Source organism: Homo sapiens, chromosome 1, assembly GCF_000001405.40.
Source record: "Homo sapiens chromosome 1, GRCh38.p14 Primary Assembly".
Taxonomy (NCBI): domain Eukaryota; kingdom Metazoa; phylum Chordata; class Mammalia; order Primates; family Hominidae; genus Homo; species Homo sapiens.
Genome location: NC_000001.11, coordinates 173,517,386 through 173,537,922, shown reverse-complemented (window position 1 = coordinate 173,537,922; position 20,537 = coordinate 173,517,386). Strand labels below are relative to the sequence as shown.

General features: G+C 38.3%; 1 protein-coding gene across 15 annotated transcripts in view; it reads left to right on the top strand.

The window, feature by feature from the left end:
• Positions 1-20,537, top strand: part of SLC9C2 (solute carrier family 9 member C2 (putative)) — a 102,613-nt gene that overhangs the window by 65,150 nt on the left and 16,926 nt on the right. For all 15 annotated transcript variants that reach the window (XM_047418170.1, XM_017001074.2, XM_047418169.1 and 12 more), the window contains 10 exons: positions 884-981; positions 1,974-2,093; positions 3,241-3,439; positions 4,126-4,314; positions 7,869-8,018; positions 11,209-11,260; positions 12,996-13,144; positions 13,829-13,954; positions 16,524-16,622; positions 20,219-20,386. In XM_047418170.1, coding sequence (XP_047274126.1) covers positions 884-981; positions 1,974-2,093; positions 3,241-3,439; positions 4,126-4,314; positions 7,869-8,018; positions 11,209-11,260; positions 12,996-13,144; positions 13,829-13,954; positions 16,524-16,622; positions 20,219-20,386 — 1,350 coding nt within the window. The remainder of the gene's footprint in view (positions 1-883; positions 982-1,973; positions 2,094-3,240; positions 3,440-4,125; positions 4,315-7,868; positions 8,019-11,208; positions 11,261-12,995; positions 13,145-13,828; positions 13,955-16,523; positions 16,623-20,218; positions 20,387-20,537) is intronic.

Below are 20,537 nucleotides of genomic sequence, written 5' to 3'. Positions count from 1 at the left end.
AGTATGTGAGGAAATGTAGGCAGCAGTTCCAGGAGGTAACGCTAACCTCTGAATGTAATGTCAGTGTCATGTAGAAGCTATAATTTTTCTGCTATTTTAGGGGGAGGATTGACACAACAATACAGCCTATCTTTTTCTTTTGATAGTTCTTTGTGGGGCTGAAATGATTAGTTACACTTAGAATTAATACTTTGCACTCTCTATTCTGCTGTAGAAAGATGATGCTACTGATGTTATTTATATTACTGAAGTAAACTCTTTGAGTTGTATATATAATATGCGTATATATGTGTGTGTGTATATACATATATATACATATATATACACACACATATATATACACACACACATATAAATTTTTGAGACGGAGTCTTGCTCTGTTGCCCAGACTGGAGTGCAATGGCATGATCTCGGCTCACCACAACCTCCGCCTCCTGGGTTCAAGCGATTCTCCTGCCTTAGCCTCCTGAGTAGCTGGGATTACAAGCATGCGCCATCATGCCCGGCTAATTTTGTATTTTTGGTAGAGATGGGGGGTTTCACCGTGTTGCCCAGACTGGTCTTGAACTCCTGGACTCAAGTGATCCCCCTGCCTTGGCCTCCCAAAGTGAGCCACCATGCCTGGCTGAGTGGCATACATTTTGATTTTCTAGAAAGCTAAGACCCTTTTTATCTCATAACATTCAGGACTATACTTTATAAAAATGAGTATTCTGTAAACATTTGCATTGAATGATATTTATTTCCTACTACATAATTTTTTGTAATGGCATATTTTGATATATTGAGTTCAGTAATAATAGTGAGGGCTATGTAAGGGTTAAGAAGAATACATTCCATTTATGTTTTGATCTTTTGTAATCTTCATTTAATGTATGTTTAGAGTAGCTTTGAAAAACAGCGTAACAATGGAATTCTTGAAATAGAGGCAGCCCGGATATTAATTGGTGCAGCAAAATGCTATTACTCCATCCAAGGAAAGTAAGTATAACACTTCTTTAATTGATATTTCCAAAATTGAATGACTATATGATGAAGAATGAATAAAATGAGAATTAAATGTCCTGATTGATCAATCTATTATTTCACATATCTGTATGTATCCATCTTCTGTCTGTCCATCTGTCTGTCCTTCCATCCATCTATCCATCTGCTTTTTATTTTATTGGTTTATTTTTTTCCTCTAAAGTTTTATAACCTTGGTGACATTAGGGGAGTCTGGAGAAAGATTGGACTGTCATGTAATTAGATAAGACACTCGGGAATCCATGAAAGGGAACTTATATAACCTCAATAACTATTATAATTATTTTGCCTTTATATTATCTTCACTTTAAATTACCAGACAGAGGAGGTTTAGAAGCCTGGAGGCTGCCATTAGACTGCTCCCTGGGGTGGAGCAGGCTCTGGAAGAATTGACCCAACTGCTGGTGCTGACAAGTGCAATTAAGTCTGGTGGGAAAAGCTCAGTATCTTGGAGATATAACAATATCTGGTTACAGTCCTGGCAAACATTAGATAATAGATGATCTAACACAAAGCTGTGGGGCAATAATAATAGGAGATCCTGGCTGGGTGATAGATAACATTTCAGCAGCCAGGTAATCTATTTGGAAGATCTTTACCAGTCCCTGGAATAAAGTTTGGGAAAGTTAGAGCTTTCAGGGCCTTGGAGAGGGTTGGGCCAGACCAGCATGACAAAGGAAAGCTTGATTCCAAACTCCAAATGGTCTAGAGAAGCTTTACTTATGTTCAACCTCTGGTCAGGAACAGAGGCAGCAGGAGTCTCATGCTAAAACTACTCCTGTACCATGACCATGGATGGATAGGTGGATGGATGCAGAGGCATGAGACTGAGCTTATTTGGTGGGTCCATATTAAATTTATACTTAGTACACCTTCCCCTTTTATATTAACCCAAAGTATAGCACTTGCTTTTTATTATAACACATATGTACATTTTTCTCTGTTAGATTCATGAGTATTTATGATGTTTCAACTTATATGAGAACTAGAAGTTGGCTTATAAAGTTTAAAAATGTTTTAACTTTCTTGGAATATTGTATAGAAAAGATACATTTTATTCCACCTGAGTAAGTATTGTGAACCTTTAATAGAAACATACTTGAAAATACTACCATTTCTACATTGTCATAATAGCTTATCTCAATTTTCCTTATTTGAGAAAAACTATATTATGGTTTATTTTCACTGATTGGGTGGTGCTTGCTTCTCTTCTTCCATTCTATTTTAGCAACTTCATTGACATCTCTATGAGAGAGTAGTCAGGAAGGGAAAAAGGATGTTCATATTTGGATCCTTCAAGTTTTAATTGCTGTGTCTGAGGGTTGTAGTGTGTTGCGGGCTGCTTAATATTCTTCTGGATATAACATAGAGCAGGGGTGAGAAATAGCTAACTGGTAGACTAGATCTAGCTCTGTTTAATTTCATCTGTTCTATTGTGTGATTCTGTTGATCTATAATTAGGAAAAACACAACATGGCCTTAATAATACCTGTAACCAATTTTCCAAAATATCACAAAACACAGATTTTACTTAACTGGGGTAGATATTTTACTTAGTTTTATAAATTGTGAGCTTACATACTTTTTAGAGCAGAGAGACATAATTTTTATACCAATAGAACATGCCAAAACAAGAACATACCAAGGGCGTTAATGCTGCTAAATTTTAAGAGGTCATTAACCTTTTATAACAAATTCTAGTAATATTTTTTACTTTTTTCCATTTAATAAGTTTAAAGAGATATACAAAAAATCAAAAGTGTAGGACCTTGACATATATCCAAAGAATTTCTTTTTGTCATGCTGTACATTAGATGGAATGAAAAGTTTTAATAAATATATGTCATAGTAATTATTTAATATCATATTTTTCCCATTCTTGATTTTAAACAATCCAATGTGTAATTTGTTTTCCTCTAAATTTATTTGTTTTTTGTTTTTATTTATGAATCTTTGCATTGTTTCCAGGGTACTGTGGCCTTGAGTTTTAAAAATGCTTCTCATCCCTGATATGGATTTTTAAAAATCATGTTTTTTACCTTTCTTCATTATGATTTTTATGTATAGAAAATATGCTTTTGATTTTTGCTTACTATTATTTTATATTATGTATAGTCTTCAAATTAATTTTAATGATTTGTTTAAACAAATATTGAACTTCAGCTGCTAATTATACTTTTAAGTGATCTAACATTTTATTTGATCTCTTTTCAGGAGTAATACATTTCTGACTTTTATATTTCACATAGTATTTTCTGAAGAATTTGAATATACAGGACAGATTATAAATTTGATATATATTTATCCTATGATAATACATCTGTGGCCAATGGCAAGAGGTTTAAATGTATCAGCACTGATATCAATAAACTACTATTTTATGTTTTTATATGTATTAGAATCAACATTGAAGGTACTGTTTAAAATAGAAATAGAATCTATAAAAAGAGCAATTCAGGTATTTTGAATCTATTTTGTCATATTATTGAAGTAACTTGATACCAAGAGCCATTTGCTATGATAGTTGATGAGATCCTAGAATTTTAGTAAGCTTTTTGAATTTTCCAAGTTTAATAGTGAAATTAGTATAAGAGTCATGGTATTGGACATCAGTTAAGTATCATAAAAGTAGAGAGATTCTCAAGGATCAGGTAAAGGAGAATTGAAAATCCAGACATGGACGTTTCCCTCAAATATTTTGTGTAATGATGCAAGAAATAAATAAGTGAATAAGAATTGGTTTGCTAGGTCTTTGTCATAAAATGTGAGTTAATTATTAGTATAAATGTGTAAAAGGTGATTTATGAGCATTACTATTTCATACTTTATTATTAATAGTATTGCAATGAATCTGTTTATTGCTATTTTTAATAGTTGTTTTTGGCATTCCAGCTTTATTATAGAGTATATATTTTAAATCAAATTATAAATGGTGAAGATTTTAAAGAATTTTTGGGGGGATTCCAAATGAATAACTTAAAGCTCAACTTTCGGAATATAACTCATTTGTAGTTAAGAACTTAGTTGTTAATTTTATAGATTTCTTCCCCCCAACATTACTGTATAGGTGCTATGAAATGACATTTGTTTTCTGTACAGATAATAATTTTGAAAAGGAAATATTTTCAACAATGTTGGAATACTTTGGAATTTTTTATCCTGGTTATTGGAATCATTGATATCTTTTGTGTATACTTTGTGAAATTGAGACCAGACAACTTGGCTCTTATACAGCTTACAGTAATAATGGGATATTTAAGAATAATTAGGTTTCTTCCTCTCTTCAAGGTAAGATTTCACATTTTAAAATATTAAGATTTGCCAGGAGTGGTAGCTCACACCTATAATCCCAGCACTTTGGGAGGCCTAGGTGGGTGGATTGCTTGAGTCCAGAAGTTTGAGACAACCTGGGTAACATAGCAAGACCCCATCACTACAAAAAATTAATAAATTAGCTGGGCATGATGGTGTGCACCTGTGGTCCCAGCTACTTGGGAGGCTGAGGTGGGAGGATCGCTTGAGCCCAGGAGGTGAGGCTGCAGTGAGCTGAGATTGTGCCATTGCACTCCAGTCAGACAGAGTGCAATGATGGCTCTGGTGACAGAGCCAGACTCTGTCTCAAAAAATAATAATAATAATAAAATAAAGTATTAAAATTCTTTTTTTACATTGTGTGTTAAGTGAGTAAGAAACCTCATTGTTTTGAAAGAAATGAGAGCAGGAGTTGTCTCTTCTGGAACACCCTCTCAATAGGTATCTGCATGGTTCCCTTTCTCGTCACCTTCAAGCCATTGCTCAAATCTCAGCTTGTCACAGAGGCCTCTCCTGACCAGCCTATGTCAACTGGCAACCCACCCTTCACACCCTCAATTTCTACCTCATCCTCCTGATTACCCTCTACCTGCTCAACTTTAATTTTTGCCCCACAGTACTTATCAGCAATTTACTGTATATTGTATGTACTCTCTGTGAGGTAGAGATCTTTGTTTTGGTCTTTCTTTTTACATTTTTTAATAGAAATGGGATCTCACTTTATTGTCCAGGCTGGTCTAAAGCTCCTGGGCTCCAGCAATCCTCCTGTTTCGGCCTCCCAAAGTGCTGGGATTACAGGCATGAACCACCATACTCGGCCTGTTTTGGTCATTGATGTAACCTCTGCCTCCAGAACAGTGCCTGGCGTATAGTAAGCACTTAATAAATATTTGTTGAGTGAAAGAATAAAAATCTTGGTGCCAGTAGAAGCAGGGTAACCCAAATACAAGTTCTTTAAGTTTCAGTAAAATTTGTTCATGTCTCCCAAACTGTACAGAAACAAAAATATTTCCTCCATAGCTCCACAGTCACATAGGATACTACCTATGGAATTTAATTTTACTGTGGCCTTCAATTTCCTTAACAATTACTATGCCTTCATTCCATGACTCTGGTTTTGATACTGAAGGCAGATTTTTATACTTTCAGTTTCAATTCTTAAACCTCCTTTCTCTCTTTCCAATGGAGTTGCATTACATAAGCTTTTAACTTCAGGGCTTTAAATGATTTCACTTGCCATGCCATGTTTGTTGTTGTTTAATTCTTATTACATCAAGCAAATCTATTATATTAGTATTTATTGAAGTTAGATACAGAGACTTAACATTAAAAAAATTGCTATAAACTCTGATGGTGAAATGCACATATTAGACTCCTCCACCTACTTCCCATTCTCCACAACATTTAATAGTTATCTTTAAGGCAGAATTGTTTGACTATCCAGTTTGTGCTTACAGATTTTCTTTTTTGTTCCTTCATTTATTCTACATTGGTGTGACCAAACTTTAGTGTTCATAAGAATTACCGTTCAGAGTTACTGTACCTGGTTTAAAGGGTAATTTTGATTCAATGTGCTTTTTGCCTTATGAGCTGAGTTTGGAGCAAAGTGCTCATGTAAGGTGTAACTCCACCGTCATGTAAACTGTCCTAGAAATCAGGATGTGTTGTGTGATGCAAAGACTTAAAATGGAAGGTAGGAGTTTCTTTAGGTAATCAGTATTTATACAGAAATCGTATGCAGGTAAATATAAAATAATTATTTTAGAAGTCATACTTCGTGAAAAGTATTTAAAATGAAACAAAGATTTAAAAGTGTATTATTGTGGAAACTGTCACGGGGAGTGACAGCTCTATGGGCTGGCGGCGCCGCAGTAAAAGAATTTACCAAGACAGTTGTAGATGAAGAAAGGCATATTTATTTATTAGAGACAGTAGAAAAATACATTGCCAGGGAAACAACAGGCAGCCTGCAAGAAAGAAGCCAACTGCAAAGAAGCAAAGGCTTGCTGGAGATTTTATAGGATAGTGTTTATGCTGTCTGTTGAAAAGGGCTTTGTGCTGTTAATGCCATGGTTGCAGTGAGCTAACTTGCAGGAGTCTGGTGGTAGTTGGGCACAAGATTTTGAGTTATTTGTGTAGGAGGGCAATGCGTCCTGGGCCATAAAGAAAGGCAGACTTGCAGCTTATCTGCTGCTTCTTTTTGCTTTCCCCTGATCCCACCAGCCTGACTCCTTTTGCCTAATTAGGGACTTTACAAAAACCAAATCCATTTAGAGTGTGGGCAGCAATGTTCTGAACTAGTCATCCCTTCTGTCTAGCATGCTCTGACAAATCTCAGTGAAGTATATTACCATGGTTTTTAATTGAACACTCACTATTTTCCAGGAACTGTTTAAAGCACTTTACATAAATTATCTGGTTTAATTAATAGGATAGCCTTGTGAGGTAGATTTCACCACTATGTAAAGTTAGGTGGCTCATAGCCATTGTCAGCATAATGTGGCTTTCAAAAAAAACAAATCTGCATTGGAAAACGTGAAAGAATACTGGCAATCTTTAGGTGCCCTAAAGGATAGCTCAAGGAGTGTCAGTGCACTGTAGAGTGTAACTTTGAAAAAATCCTCTTTAAACATCTCTCCCTTTGTCCAAAATTTCAAAGGCAAAATAGCAGCTTAAAAAAAAAATTCCCTTCTCTGCTCTTGGAATTCCTTCACTATGATGCCATCTCCCGGTTCACTTTTTTCTTCTCCCTTGTTACCCAGTCCCTCGCCATCTGCCCCTGTGCTCTGACATGACTTTAACCCTGTGGGAAGCCCCCTGTCTGTGTGAGTGACGATGTGGATTTTGAGGAGCCCCTCTATTGGAATTCTGGTATTTAGATATTATTTCCTCATTTTACACATGAGGAAACTGAGTCCTCAAAGTCACTAAATAACTTGCTCAAGGTCACAGAGCTGGTGAATAGGAGAGCTTGCATTTGAATTTAGAGAGGTGTATATTTAAAATCCCATTCTCTTAAGTCATGACACTAGCCTGCCTTAGCTTATGATTGGAGAAATATAAAACTAAGCAGGATCTTAGATACCCTAAGTTCTTTATTTTGCAAGTGAAGAAACTGAGGCACAGAGAGACGATTTGTTCAGTGAGTAACTATGACCCAGGTTAGGAGACCTGGTTAGGGGTTTTCTGAAATCTGGGGGTACAGAGAATGAGGGAAAAGGCAGTGCTAGAGACTTTCCCCTAAAGCAAGAGTCAGTTATTCACTAAGCTTCACCTTCTTTAGAGAATGGGTCTTGACTTTTGTAGGCACAGAATCACCTGGCAGACTTGCTAAGACATCGACTACTAGGCCCCACCCAAGAGTGTCTGATTCCACAGGTCTCCAGTGGGACCTGAGATTTTGCATTCCTAACAAGTTTGTGGGCTCTGCTGTTGCTGGTCTGGAGATGACACTTTATGAATTTCTGCCTCAGAGGGTGCTTTTCCTCATCAAATGTACAGGTTTTTTTTTCTTCTTCTCATTATTCCAGATAATAGTACCAATACTGATAAGAATTGCAGATGTGCAGATCAAAAAGCGCCTCAGCTTGATGTATAGTATTACAAAAGGCTATATCAAAAGTCAAGAAGATGCCAAACTTCTAATAAAACAAATAGCTGTCTGTGAATCAATATATCAGGTGAGAAACAAGCACTGGTCATTTGGGGAGAAAAACCCCTTAGGTGTATTAACTTCTTTTAAGACTAGTTCTATGTGTGTTTGACGAAACAGACAAATTCCAACAGTTGAAAGGGATTCAGTTGTTTATTATATCATATGAGGTGCTACAGAGAACAGTCTCTGATCATTACATTTCAGCTGTTATCATCAAACTCATTTATTATCTTCATGGCAGAAAACATATGATCTCTTTTCTGAGTGCAGAGTATAGAGAAGAGATCTAGTATGTCTCTGTAACACTCTCTAAAAGACAGGGCACTTGGAAAGGTGTATGCAGGAGTTGAGACTTGAAAAAGGCTTCAAAGAAAGGGTAAGTCTTAAGTGAAGAGGAAGAGAGGAAAAGAGAACAAAGATTTGATAGTGAAAAGTTGAAATCCTGGTACTGTGGGGTGGGTGAGTAGAAGTATTTATTTTTTATCATTTAAGACCCTCTTCATTTCCAGCCACTATGCTGTAAGTACTAGATGGGAGCCTAGAGGTGGAGTGAATCCTCTCCTAACCAGGCTCCCTCGCACCAGTCTGTCTATTACCAGTCACTCGCAAAAGAGTGGGGAAAGTGGAACGTGACTGCTCTCTCATTCTCATGCTTCTTTGGGCCTGATAATGTAGAGGAGACTCGCATTCTTTAGATAAAAAACTTCCTTATTTTTCACTCATAGCTGTCAACTCTGCTCTTTGCAGTGAGAATCTTTCAATTGATTTTCCAGGTTACAGATTTTTAAATTTCTAGTTGTGTTCTTTCTTCTGTTCAACCCATCTATTAAACTTTTTAATTTTTTTTGACAATTACTTTTTGATCTCCAAAAACTGTGGTTGCTTCCTTTTCATAACAACTGTTTGCTTTAAAAGAATTAACATAATATTATCTAGAATCTTCTTTTCATCTTAAAAGATATTTTGCTTCCTGTGTTAATTCTGCTTCCTTGGGGTTCACTCTCCTATTCATTGTGTTTGGTTTCTATATTTCATTCTGTTTTTGCCCCCAGTGTTTGGTGATTTTGGTTATATTTTCATACGTGTCAATGAGGGGCTAAGGTGAACAGTATCAACAGCTGAAAGGTGTTTTCTCAGCCCAAGTTACACTCTTGATTTTTAACTGGAGATGGATTTAAATCCTGATTACTACAATGATTATGTGTGGATACATAAAACCATGGATGGCCTAGAGGTTATGTCTTCTGGTTACGGTGCCTATTTTTTGTGGTGACGGTTACGTTACCTCAGTCAAGAGAGGCTCTTTACTTATTGAAATAAGAAGAGGAAAAGAGGCTGTGAAGATATCTACCTTTATTGGATTGAACATTAATGTGTAACAGAATTCTGTCCTGTTGCTTTACTTTGAAGAATGGAGAAGAAAATTAAAAGAACTACTCAAAGGCTGGATTGATCTGCATTAGAAAGAACACAGAGCTATTCATAGGAGAAAAGATTTCAGCAGAAGGAGGAAGAGAGAAGAAAAACAAGAGACAGTGGGGGGAGTTAAGAATGTGTTTTCAGGAGTTTGGGAGAAGATGCAGAGATCTGAGGGCAGTTGCCTTGACGTGTCACAGGTGAAGTGAATCCCCTGTGACATTTTGAAAGAAGCACCAGTAAAGATTTAAATGGCCTTTTGAGATGTGTTTAGATGTCTAACTGGTGTTTATTCTGAAACTGACTTGGTTCTGGAAATTGGCCTGTGGCAGCTCACCTTAAGAAAAATAAATGTATGCCCAGGCTTTCATGATTATGCTCTCTTTGTAGGCAGGAGTCAGGTCCCATGCGCTTTTGTGCAAAGGCGTTCTAGAGCAGTCTTACAGGGTTGCTGTAAGTCTAGTTTGGTGTGAAGGGGGCCTAGCTGCTTTCTTTGCACCTATGCAAGCAGGGCTGGGCTAGGATATGTTGGTGCCATGGACAGGCTAGTAATTTGGCACCTTCCCAATATTGATGCAATGTTATCGAGTAAGAAGAAATAATTTAATAAATATTACATACCTTATTCTTATATTCAAAATGAGGGATTCATTACATGCGATTTTTTTCTAAACCAAAACAAAGACAACAAAAAAACCCCACAAAAACTTAACTTTGCTTAAACTTTAGATAACAAACCAGGTGTTCCCTATAAAGAGCACTATGCCATGCATTATTTGGGGCAGAGTTTCAGACATCTGTACCTGACAACCCTAAAGAACTGTCAGTTGTGTGATTCCAGGACTGTTGGTGTAGCCAAGTGCAAACTCCCCAGTGACTCAAAGCTGGAGGGTAAGCTTTAAGAGGAAAAGTGCCTGGGACATAGTGGGCATCCAACAAATACCTGTTGTATGATTGATTGAACAGAGATTGGTTAGCCCTGGAGTGCAGTGATTTCTTCAGTTATCTAAGGAGTTATTTGTTAGAAATATGAACTAATCAATATCGTATTTTCTCATTTTTCCACTTCTTTTTGTGCTCCTGATAGGCTGGCTTCCCAACTAGCTGCTCACTTGGCTCACTGCCAAATGAGGCGCTATGAGAATTCTCCTTGGTGCACAGTGGAGTACATACTGATCTTTTCTGATAACTATTAGGCAAGGTAGTTATGCAAGCTACTGACTGTACTAGACTCATTGAGATTGACGTCTGAGCATGGGCAAAGCAGCAGAATTGACCCAGAGGGAAGAAATGAGCCAATAGCTTTTCTAAAACTAGGTGAAATGTCCTCTACCATACTTCCTTTTCTCTGAATTTAAAAGGAAAGCCAGGCTAGGTGTGGTGGCTTATGCCTGTAATCCCAGCACTTTGGGAGGCAGAAGTGAGTAGATCACCTGAGGTCAGGAGTTCAAGACCAGCCTAGCCAACATGGAGAAACCCCATCTCTACTAAAAATACAAAAATCAGCTGGGTGTGGTCGCTCACACTTGTATCCCAGCTACTTGGGAGGCTGAGGCACGAGAATAACTTGAACCCGGGAAGTGGAGGTTGCAGTGAGCTGAGATTGCACCACTGCACTCCAACCTCGGCAACAGAGCAAGACTCTGTCTCAAAAAATAAAAATAAAAGGAAAGCCAGAACTATACTTGGTATAATAAGTATGCTTCTCAGGAATATAAGAAGAAATGCATGTTTTTCTTAATTTCTTACAGAAACTATATGAATAATAAGAAATACATGTTTTTCTTAATTTTTTACAGAAACTATGTGAAATTTTGGAAACCAACAAACAGGATGCTGTCAAAGAATTAGGTAGGTAGTTGAAGTATCTGAGTTCTTAAAGTCATACCTTATTGTCCTATAATTTAATAAAAGAAGAACAATTCATGCTTTCATTTACTTGCTCATTCATTTATGCATTCAACAAGCATTTATTAAACACAGCTAATGGGCCAGGTATGGGAAAGCAAAGATGAGTAGATCCTGACCCTTAAACAGTGCAGAATCTTGTGGAGTGTATGAGCGTATCAATAGATAATTGAAAAAGTTAGCAGAGTCCTGTTAGTTGTTATGGGAGTGTACAGGAAAGAATGAGAGGAGTGTGGAAAGTGTATTAAGGTGGCAAGGTCAGAGTCCTCAAGGTTAGAAGAAAAAGACATGTGAAGGTTACCTTTGACAAAATGGTTTTGTTTCATTGTTTTGTTTTTTGCAAAGATACTCTGGAACATAGGGCTGCAACGAATGTCATTTCCTGAGTATCTACAGTCACTCCACTTTATTTGAAGCACAGAGCAGGAGCCCAGGGATTTTATGCCAAGTTTTTTTGGGTCAGCTTTTCTCATGGGGGGCTGTGGGCCAGGCTGTCAGTGTGTGCAAAAGCATCTGGTAGAGGGCCCAGCATATGGAAGGCCCTTAATAAATGGAAGTTATCAGAAAAGAAAATAAAGTAAAACCATTTCATATTCATGACCACATTGTAAGATGCCATATGGGGTTACACTTTCCAAATCAAAATGGAAAGAATGTGATCTAATGAATGAAAGTGTAAGTTTAGAGACAACAGATTAGAATATTTTGGCATTATCTCAGAAAACCCATGACCCATTGTTGCCATTTATATGTTGACAGATTTTTATTTCTGTGCTTTTAAAGATTAGGGGTTAGGACAGCTGCATTATATTATGTTTTAGATCAGTATGGAATATTACAAAGTTTTCTCAATTCACTACTCTAAAAGGCAGTGCTTGTTTCCATGTGGTTACTGCAACTGATGACTGAATGCTTATCATGGCAGGAACTGCTAACTCTTTATGTACATTATCTCATTTAATCCTTATAATTACTCTGTGAGGCAAATACTATTATTACAGAGGTTAATTTGCCTGAGGCCCTATGGCTAGTAAGTAGTGAGCCAGGTTTCTAGCCCAGGTGTATTTGACACTAAAACCTATGCTTTTGATCATTGCTACCTTTCACTTTAGTGGTCAATTCATTTAGTTAAAAAGAAAAGAGTGTGTACCTTCGATATGGCAAGCATTGTGTTCAATGTTGAATATGAAGATGAAACAGATGCAATTTTAACCTTGACTCACAGTCCAGTTCATGTCTTCTGAGGTTTACTGAAGGGGAAAGAATATGCTCCTTGATCTCAGAAAGACCCACCAGCCAAAGTCCAGGGGTACTTTCATTGTGTCATTTATTCGTCTAACCAACAAAAATTATACAATATGGAGGATGAGACAGAGAAGTAAAAATAGTAACATGATAATGTAATGAGTTCCATAATAGAGATATGGAGGAGATGCCATGGGGATAAGAGAGAGAGAGTGATTTTCTCTTAGCTGATGGGGGAAGCCAGTTTCCAATTTTCTCATCCATAAAATAGAGTTGAAAATAACTCTTTGCCTGCTGACCTCATGAGTTCTGCATGAAACTAGAATCAAAGAATATTGTGTAAATGCTTTGGAAATTATACAGTATTATACTAATATTAGTTATTGTGGTTATTGCATAGGCCACTTACTGAATTTTATTTTCTTTGCTGTAGTACTCATGGAGCATGAGGGTCGTGATGTTGTCATTGCTTTGAAGACTAAACAGGCAATCCGGAATGTGATTGCTAAAGCTCTAAAAAATCTCACCTTCCTTTGTTCAAGAGGCATTATTGATAAGCATGAAGTCATTGAGATAAATAAGGTAATTTTGCTTGATTCTGTCCGCATAACACCCCAGCCTTCATGGTTACTTTAGCAGTGTGTAATAAGGAGGGAGATTGAAAAAATTGTTTAACCACAGGTGTTAACTCTATAATCACCTTCAGCCTTTGATAATGCAAAGGACAACGAATGCCGATGCAATCCGGTACACTCCATTTGTCAAAACTACTTGATTGCAAGTAACAGAAACCAACTTGAACTAAGTTTAGTAAAGAAATGGTTGGGGGATTTATCAAAAGGACGCAGAGTACTTTATAGAACCCACAATAGCCAGGATATGTGACAAGGCCTAAGGAAGGGATTTGAACAGCGATGTAGAAAGCTTTCTAGATTCTCCATTTCCTATCAGGGTTGCCCTCTATGGCATCTTCCTTTGGCTTTCCCTATAGACTCACTAGATTTTTCTGCTTCTCCATCCACTGTGTCAATTGAATTATGAAGATGATAGGTTCAATCTGAGTTAATAAGTCAGTGAAAATAGTAATAAGGGGAGACTAGGGACAAAAATGGTTAGAGGAATTTAGATAGGATGAGACAAGCTGTGAGTCAACAATCAAGGTTAAACTTGCCTAACAGTAGTTTATTTAGATTTCCTTAGTTTTTCCCTAGTGTCCATTTTCTGTTACAGGATCTGATCCCCATTATTTTGATTATTTGTTTTTAGGTACTTCTTAAAAAATTAAAAGCACTAAATAACTTTCCAAAGGCAATCCCACCCCCAACTCCTGACATATACCTTCACAACATCATTTGGCTGGAAGGTAAAGATGTTCTCATTGACTTCTTCAAGGTAAAGATTCCGTTTTCTATTCTGGCTCAGGTTTGATGGTAATTATCCATTTTTTTCCACTCCCTAATGAAAGATTAACAGAAAAGCATATCACATACTGGCCAATTCAGGGAAAGCCAAAATGGAGGCCCAGGAAAGCCTAGAGGAAGACTAGATCTCTTTTTGAGCCTAAAGGGCAAAGATAGTTTTTCACAATGGCTTATCCGCTTATGAGTAGCTATATGTGTCTGACTATTACCAATCCCATTCTATTTTATGTTGTAGAGTTCTGGACTTCTTGATGTACACTCTGGGAGAGACATTTTTTAGAGCAAGGGTCTCAAATTTAAGTTACTGCACAGACCGGGCAGATAGTGTAAAAGTAAAGCCAATTGGGCATAGTGTAATAGGGAACAGTGAGAACTGAGGTGTATTCAAGTTCATGCTCTGTCAGCTGACGGTTGCCACAGGACTTTGAATTCTTTCAACAAATATCTATTGAATATCCTCTACATGCCAGAGACTGTTCTAGGTTTTGGGATATGGCAGTAAACAAAACAGATGAAGTCCCTACTTTCATTTTTTAATTTTTATTTTATTCTTTTTATTTATTTTTTTGAGATAGAGTCTCACTCTGCCGCCCAGGCTGGAGTGCAGTGGTGTGATCTCGGCTCACTGCAACCTCCGCCTCCCGGGTTCAAGTGATCCTCCTGCCTCAGCCTCCCAAGTAGCTGGGATTACAGGCCTGTGCCACCATGCCCAGCTAATTTTTGTATTTTCAGTAGAGACGGGGTTTCATCATGTTGGCCAGGCTGGTCTCGAACTCCTTACTTCAAGTGATCCACCCGCCTTGGCCTCCCAAAGTGCTGGGATTACAGGTGTGAGCCACTGTGCCTGGCAGAAGTCCCTGCTTTCAAAAGCTTTTAGTGTATGGATGGAGACAGACAATAAACACACCAAACACATAAATAAGTAGCCTATCAGATGGTTGTTAAGTGCTAGAGAAAAATAAGGGGAGAAAAGGTAACACAGAGCGGCCATGGAAGGCTGCTCTAATAAGGTGACATTTGAAGAGAGATGTGAAAGAAGTGAGGGAGCAAGCCAGCTAGTATCTTACAGAAGAGCACTCCAGGCAAAGGGAGTAGTGGGTGCAAGGAGGCCCCGAGGCCAAGTGTGCCTGGAGTGTTCCAGGAGCAGCACAGAGGTCCCTGGCAGGAGCAGAGCTGGAGAGAGCACATGAAGTCAGGGCAGTTGCAGAGGGCCCGAAGAACATCATGACTCTCAGGTGCCCTGGGCACTTCTGCCTTAGTGGGCCTCTTCCTCCATAAAAAAGTATTAAAAATTAGACTTTATGACTGTGTTAGTATCACAATGAATATATTAGTATTATCTATTAAAACATTTTTCTCTATCTAAAACTAATTTTCCTCCAGATTCTAAAAAACATTAAAACATTGTTTTAAGTGTCTAAAAGTATTGTAGATGCAGGCACTGCGCCTGCTGATGCCTAGTGGATGGCTCCACCCTGGTCTCCATCCCTCCCTGCCTGAGACATATACAATCTTTGCTATTACCCTAACTGCAGACGTTCAGTTTGCTTCTGGATTTTGCATATATGAATCTTCTGCCCTGGAGGTCTTCAACTCATGTTATCCGAGCTATCTGCTACTCCTCTTTCAAGTCTCAGCTTAGCTGTCCTGTCTGCTGTAAAGTCCTCACCGAACAACCAAGATAGGATCCTGTGGCTTTTCTGCATTTTTTTTTTTTTGAGATGGAGTCTCACTCTGTCGCCCAGGCTGGAATGCAGTGGCACGATCTCGGCTCACTGCAAGCTCCACCTCCCGGGTTCACGCCATTCTCCTGCCCAGCCTGTAGCTGGGACTACAGGCGCCCGCCACTACGCCCGGCTAATTTTTTGTATTGTTAGTAGAGACGGGGTTTCACCGTGTATTGTTAGTAGAGACGGGGTTTCACCGTGTTAGCCAGGATGGTCTCGATCTCCTGACCTCATGATCCGCCCATCTCGGCCTCCCCAGTGCTGGGATTACAGGCGTAAGCCACCGCGCCCGGCCTTTTCTGCATTTTTTTTTTTTTTTTTTTTTTTGCATAGCGCCCTGTCCCTGTCTTCTTTGTCATAATTATCCCATTGGATTGTAAATATCTACCCAACATAACTAAAACTTTTTTCTGAAGGCAGGGGAATTGTTTAGCTTACCATTATAACCCAAGCCTCAAACGGGCTGAAAAAAAGTTTTCATTCATAAATATGCATATTTATTCCATAGTTATATCAGTTACTATGCTAGGTACTAATCACAAAGTCAAAGTTTGTTTGCCTGTTCCTTTATTTCTAAAAGTTGATGTGGTATATTAGCACGTTACAGTTCAGTAATAAACCAAGAATATAATTAGTGTTTTTATGCTACTTGGAAACTATTTTAGCTTTAAAATCATATATATATATACACACACACACATATATAATAAAATCATATATATATATATATATATAGAAAATATTTAGAAAAGTAGACTAGGAAGCTTTTGTGTTGACTCTCTTTTTCTTTTCGTTTTTTTTTTTCCCACTCAGGAAAGAGCCAAACTTGCCTGTTTTGACTCTGGAGATACCATTTGTAAAGGAGGTGAAATGCCACAAGGAATCTACTTAATTATTTCAGGAATGGCAATTGTAAGGGACTATTGATTTTTTTTTTTTTTTTTACTTAAAATGTATTTTGAAACATGTAATTGTAGAATAAGAATAAATTTAGATACTGAAAAAGTTTAAATTTTTAATGTGATGAAACCATTTCTACTCTGAGCATGACAGCTGAGAGGTGAATATTCAACACCTGAAATGTGCTTCCCATTCTACAAAATGCTGTCATAGTCTTTACTTATTTCCAGCAATCCTGGGAGGAAGCAGGATTTTTCAGAATGTTCAGAGAAGGAAATCAATACTTGGCGTGGCTTAAATTACTCACCTAAAGGAAATAGAATGAGGATCAAAAATACAGCTTTTAATCTGTCTCATGGGAGGCTTTTGTTGACCAGAGAGAGAGACAGAGAGAGAGAGAGGGAGAGAGATTTCAGTAGAGTGATGGGGACAAGAATCCTTTGTATCTGCATAACAGTAGTTTAGTAGCTGGTTTCATGCGTGAGCCCCATTTTGTGAACCAAATAATTCCTAGATCCTGGATGATGGTCATAAAATGACAAATCCTTAATATGGCAAAAATAATACCATTGGCTTTCTGGTTTTGAAACGGGTATATTAGACCTTAAAATATCATGGAAATAAACTACCATAATAAATAGAATACTAACACAATATAACACTTATTTACTATCTGGCACTATTCTAAGCACTTTTCATTCATTCATTCACTCATTTATTCAACAAAATGTTTGCTTCATTACCACCATGTGGCAGGCACTGTTAATTCTAGGCATGGGATTGACAAAACAGACACAAATTCCTGCCTTCTTGGAGCCTAATTTCTAGTAGAGGGATAAAAGGAGATGGGACAATGAACAAAACAAGTAAGTTTACAGTATGTTACAGATGATGGAGGTATGAAGAGATTAGTTGTGATTTTTTAAAAGGTAGTCGAGAAAGGCAATATAAGCTGGGCATGATGGCTCACAGCTGTAATCCCACCACTTTGAGGGCTAGGTGGGTGGATCACGAGGCAGGAGTTTGAGACCAGCCTGGCCAACATGGCAAAACCCTGTCTCTACTAAAAATACACAAATTAGCCGGGCATGGTGGCATATGTCTATAATCCCAGCTACTCAGGAGGCTGAGACATGAGAATCCGAGATCCTGCCACTGCACTCCAGCCTGGGCGACAGTCTCTGTCACTCAGTCTGGAGTGCAGTGACACCATCTCAGCTCACTGCAAGGTCTGTCCGTCGGGTTCAAGTGATTCTCCTGCCTCAACCTCCCAAGTAGCTGGGATTACAGGATTACAGGCACGCACCACCACGCCCATCTAATTTTTGTGTTTTTAGTAGAGACGGGATTTCCCTAGGCTGGTGTTGAACTCCTGACTTCAAGTGATCCGCCCGCCTTGGCCTCCCAAAGTGCTGGGATTACAGGTGTGAGCCACCGAACCAGGCCAACAACCCTATTTTTTACATGAGAAAACTGATGAACAGAAAAAAAAAATTCACTTGGCCCCAACTACACATACTCAGAGGCCAAAGATTACTTTGAACCCATGTAGTCTGTCTCCAGTATCCATGTGCTTAGCCATTATACTATACTCCCATTAGAATTCTAGGACAAACACACTGCTGCCAGTATTTATGAAATACGGCAAGTCCGATACTTAAAAGCTGCAACTTGCTGTAACATGTTTCTTTGGGGATTTTCCTGCCATGACTGGACTAGCTAAACCTTCTTAAACTATAGTCCAATAATGTCTGGTCTGAAGAGGTTATATTAGTACTTTTTTGATACCATAACAAATTACCACAAATTTAGTGCTTAAATATATTATCTCATGGCTGTGTAGGTCAGAAATCCAATGGGTTCTGCTGATTTCACTGCTTGGGTCTCAAGAAGCTGAAATCTAGATGTCAGTAGTGCTATGTTACCTTCTGGAAGCTCTAAGGGCACAATCTGTTTCCAGGCTCTTTGAGGTTGTTGGCAGATCTAGTTATTCTTTACGGCTATTGAACAGAAGTCCTTGCTTCTTCAAGGCTGTCAGCTGGAGCCCACCTTGAGCTCCTAGAGCTTCTCTTTTGTCCTTGCATGCAGGTCCTCACATCTCAGAGCAAGCAAAGGCATATGGAATCCTTCACACATCTCTCTCTGATGGACTCCCTTCTACTTGCGAGGGCTCATGTGATTACAGTCCCCGCAATATTCCCGTCTGTTGTTTAATCAAATACTAATCTGGTACAGCTGTGAAGGGACTTTGTAGATCTTTTTAAGGTCAGCTGATTAGTAGCCTTAACTCCAAAAATCATCTTTTTAAGGTCAGCCAATTAGCAACCTTAATTCCACTACAAAGTCCCTTCACTGCAGTCCCTAGATTAGTATTTGGTTGAACAACAGACAGGAATCTTGGGGGGGCCTCCTTTAGAATGCTGCCTACCTCAAATGCCATCATCTTTTCTTTGTTTGCAAAAAGCAGAGGCATTCTTCATTGCTCAAAGATCCTTTGAATTGCATTCAAAATTACAGCCATTAAAAACAAATTCAAACTCTTCTGGAAGCATGAATGCCTTTAAAAGTCTGAATGCTAATTGCTGGGAGAGAATGACCTTTTGCTTCCTGTTTCCTGTGTCTTGAACAAGAACCTTCCTCTTTGATGTTTACAGCTAAACTTTCTGAAAAATTCTGTAATCTTTCTAATCCCAATTCTTTCAGCTTCCCCCTAAAATCTGATACCGCGGTTCTTTCTCCAGCTATGCCTACCAGTTATTTTCTTGAAGTAACTCAACCATCCTATGTTCATCCTAAAACCTTTTCCTGTTGATATTGCATGGTAATTTTTCTAAAGCATTTTAAAAAGAGACAAGGCTTTCATTAACATCATGGCTTGGTTTGGAGGCATATTAATTCATAATATCTGATTTATGTGCCCATGCAATCAAAAGTTATTTCCACCTGATGCATTAGCCCATTGCGGTAAGAATATCTAATGGACTCAATGAGTGATTGCATTAGTTGCATACTATAATTTCCAGTTTTGGTGGGTTTTTTTTTTTTTTCTTTGAGATGGAGTCTCACTTTGTCGCCCAGCTGGAGTGCAGTGGCACGATCTTGGCTCACTGCAACCTCTGCCTCCTGGGTTCAAATGATCCTCCTGCCTCAGTCTCCTGAGTAGCTGGGACTACAAGTATGCGTCACCATGCTCGACTAATTTTTGTATTTTTTTTTAGCAGAGACGGGGTTTCACCATGTTGGCCAGGCTGGTCCCGAACTCTTGATCTTGTGATCCGCCCGCCTTGGCCTCCCAAAGTGCTGGGATTACAGGCGTGAGCCACTGCGCCCAGCCCTGGTGGGATTTTTGTATAAGACAGGTATAAGTAGAAAGTTGTAAATAGGGGTCATCTGTAAAACTAAAGATTAGAAAAAAATCCTTGCCTTGGGGAGTTGAAATGTTAAAGAAATCATGATTTTTTTTTCTTAAGCCTAATTCTTCTTTCACACCTGACAGGAGATCTTTCCCTTCCATTGGAAAGTTGTAAGAAATAGTGGGAGCTCCTATGATTTGATCAAAGGGTTTTTCATTTTTTCTTTCCCTTTGCACACTTTTTTTCCCTTTGCAGTTGCATAGTTTATCTCCTACCTTTGGAATAGAGAGTAATCAAAGGTGTGATAGAGGGTCCAGAGACATGTTTACAGAGTTCTGTACTACTGGGGACATAATTGGAGAGCTAAGCTGTCTGCTTAAGCGTGAAATTGAATATACCGTCATCTGTGAAACTAGTTTACAGGTAGGAAAATGGTTCTGTCATGAGTTATTAATTATTCTTCAAGTAAATAAAAAATACCAGCATCTTTTCTTTTTTGGGGTTTTGACATCTTAGTCACCCAACCAGCTATTGGGAGGTAACATAGCTGAAAAGGCAGATTTAGTGTCTCACA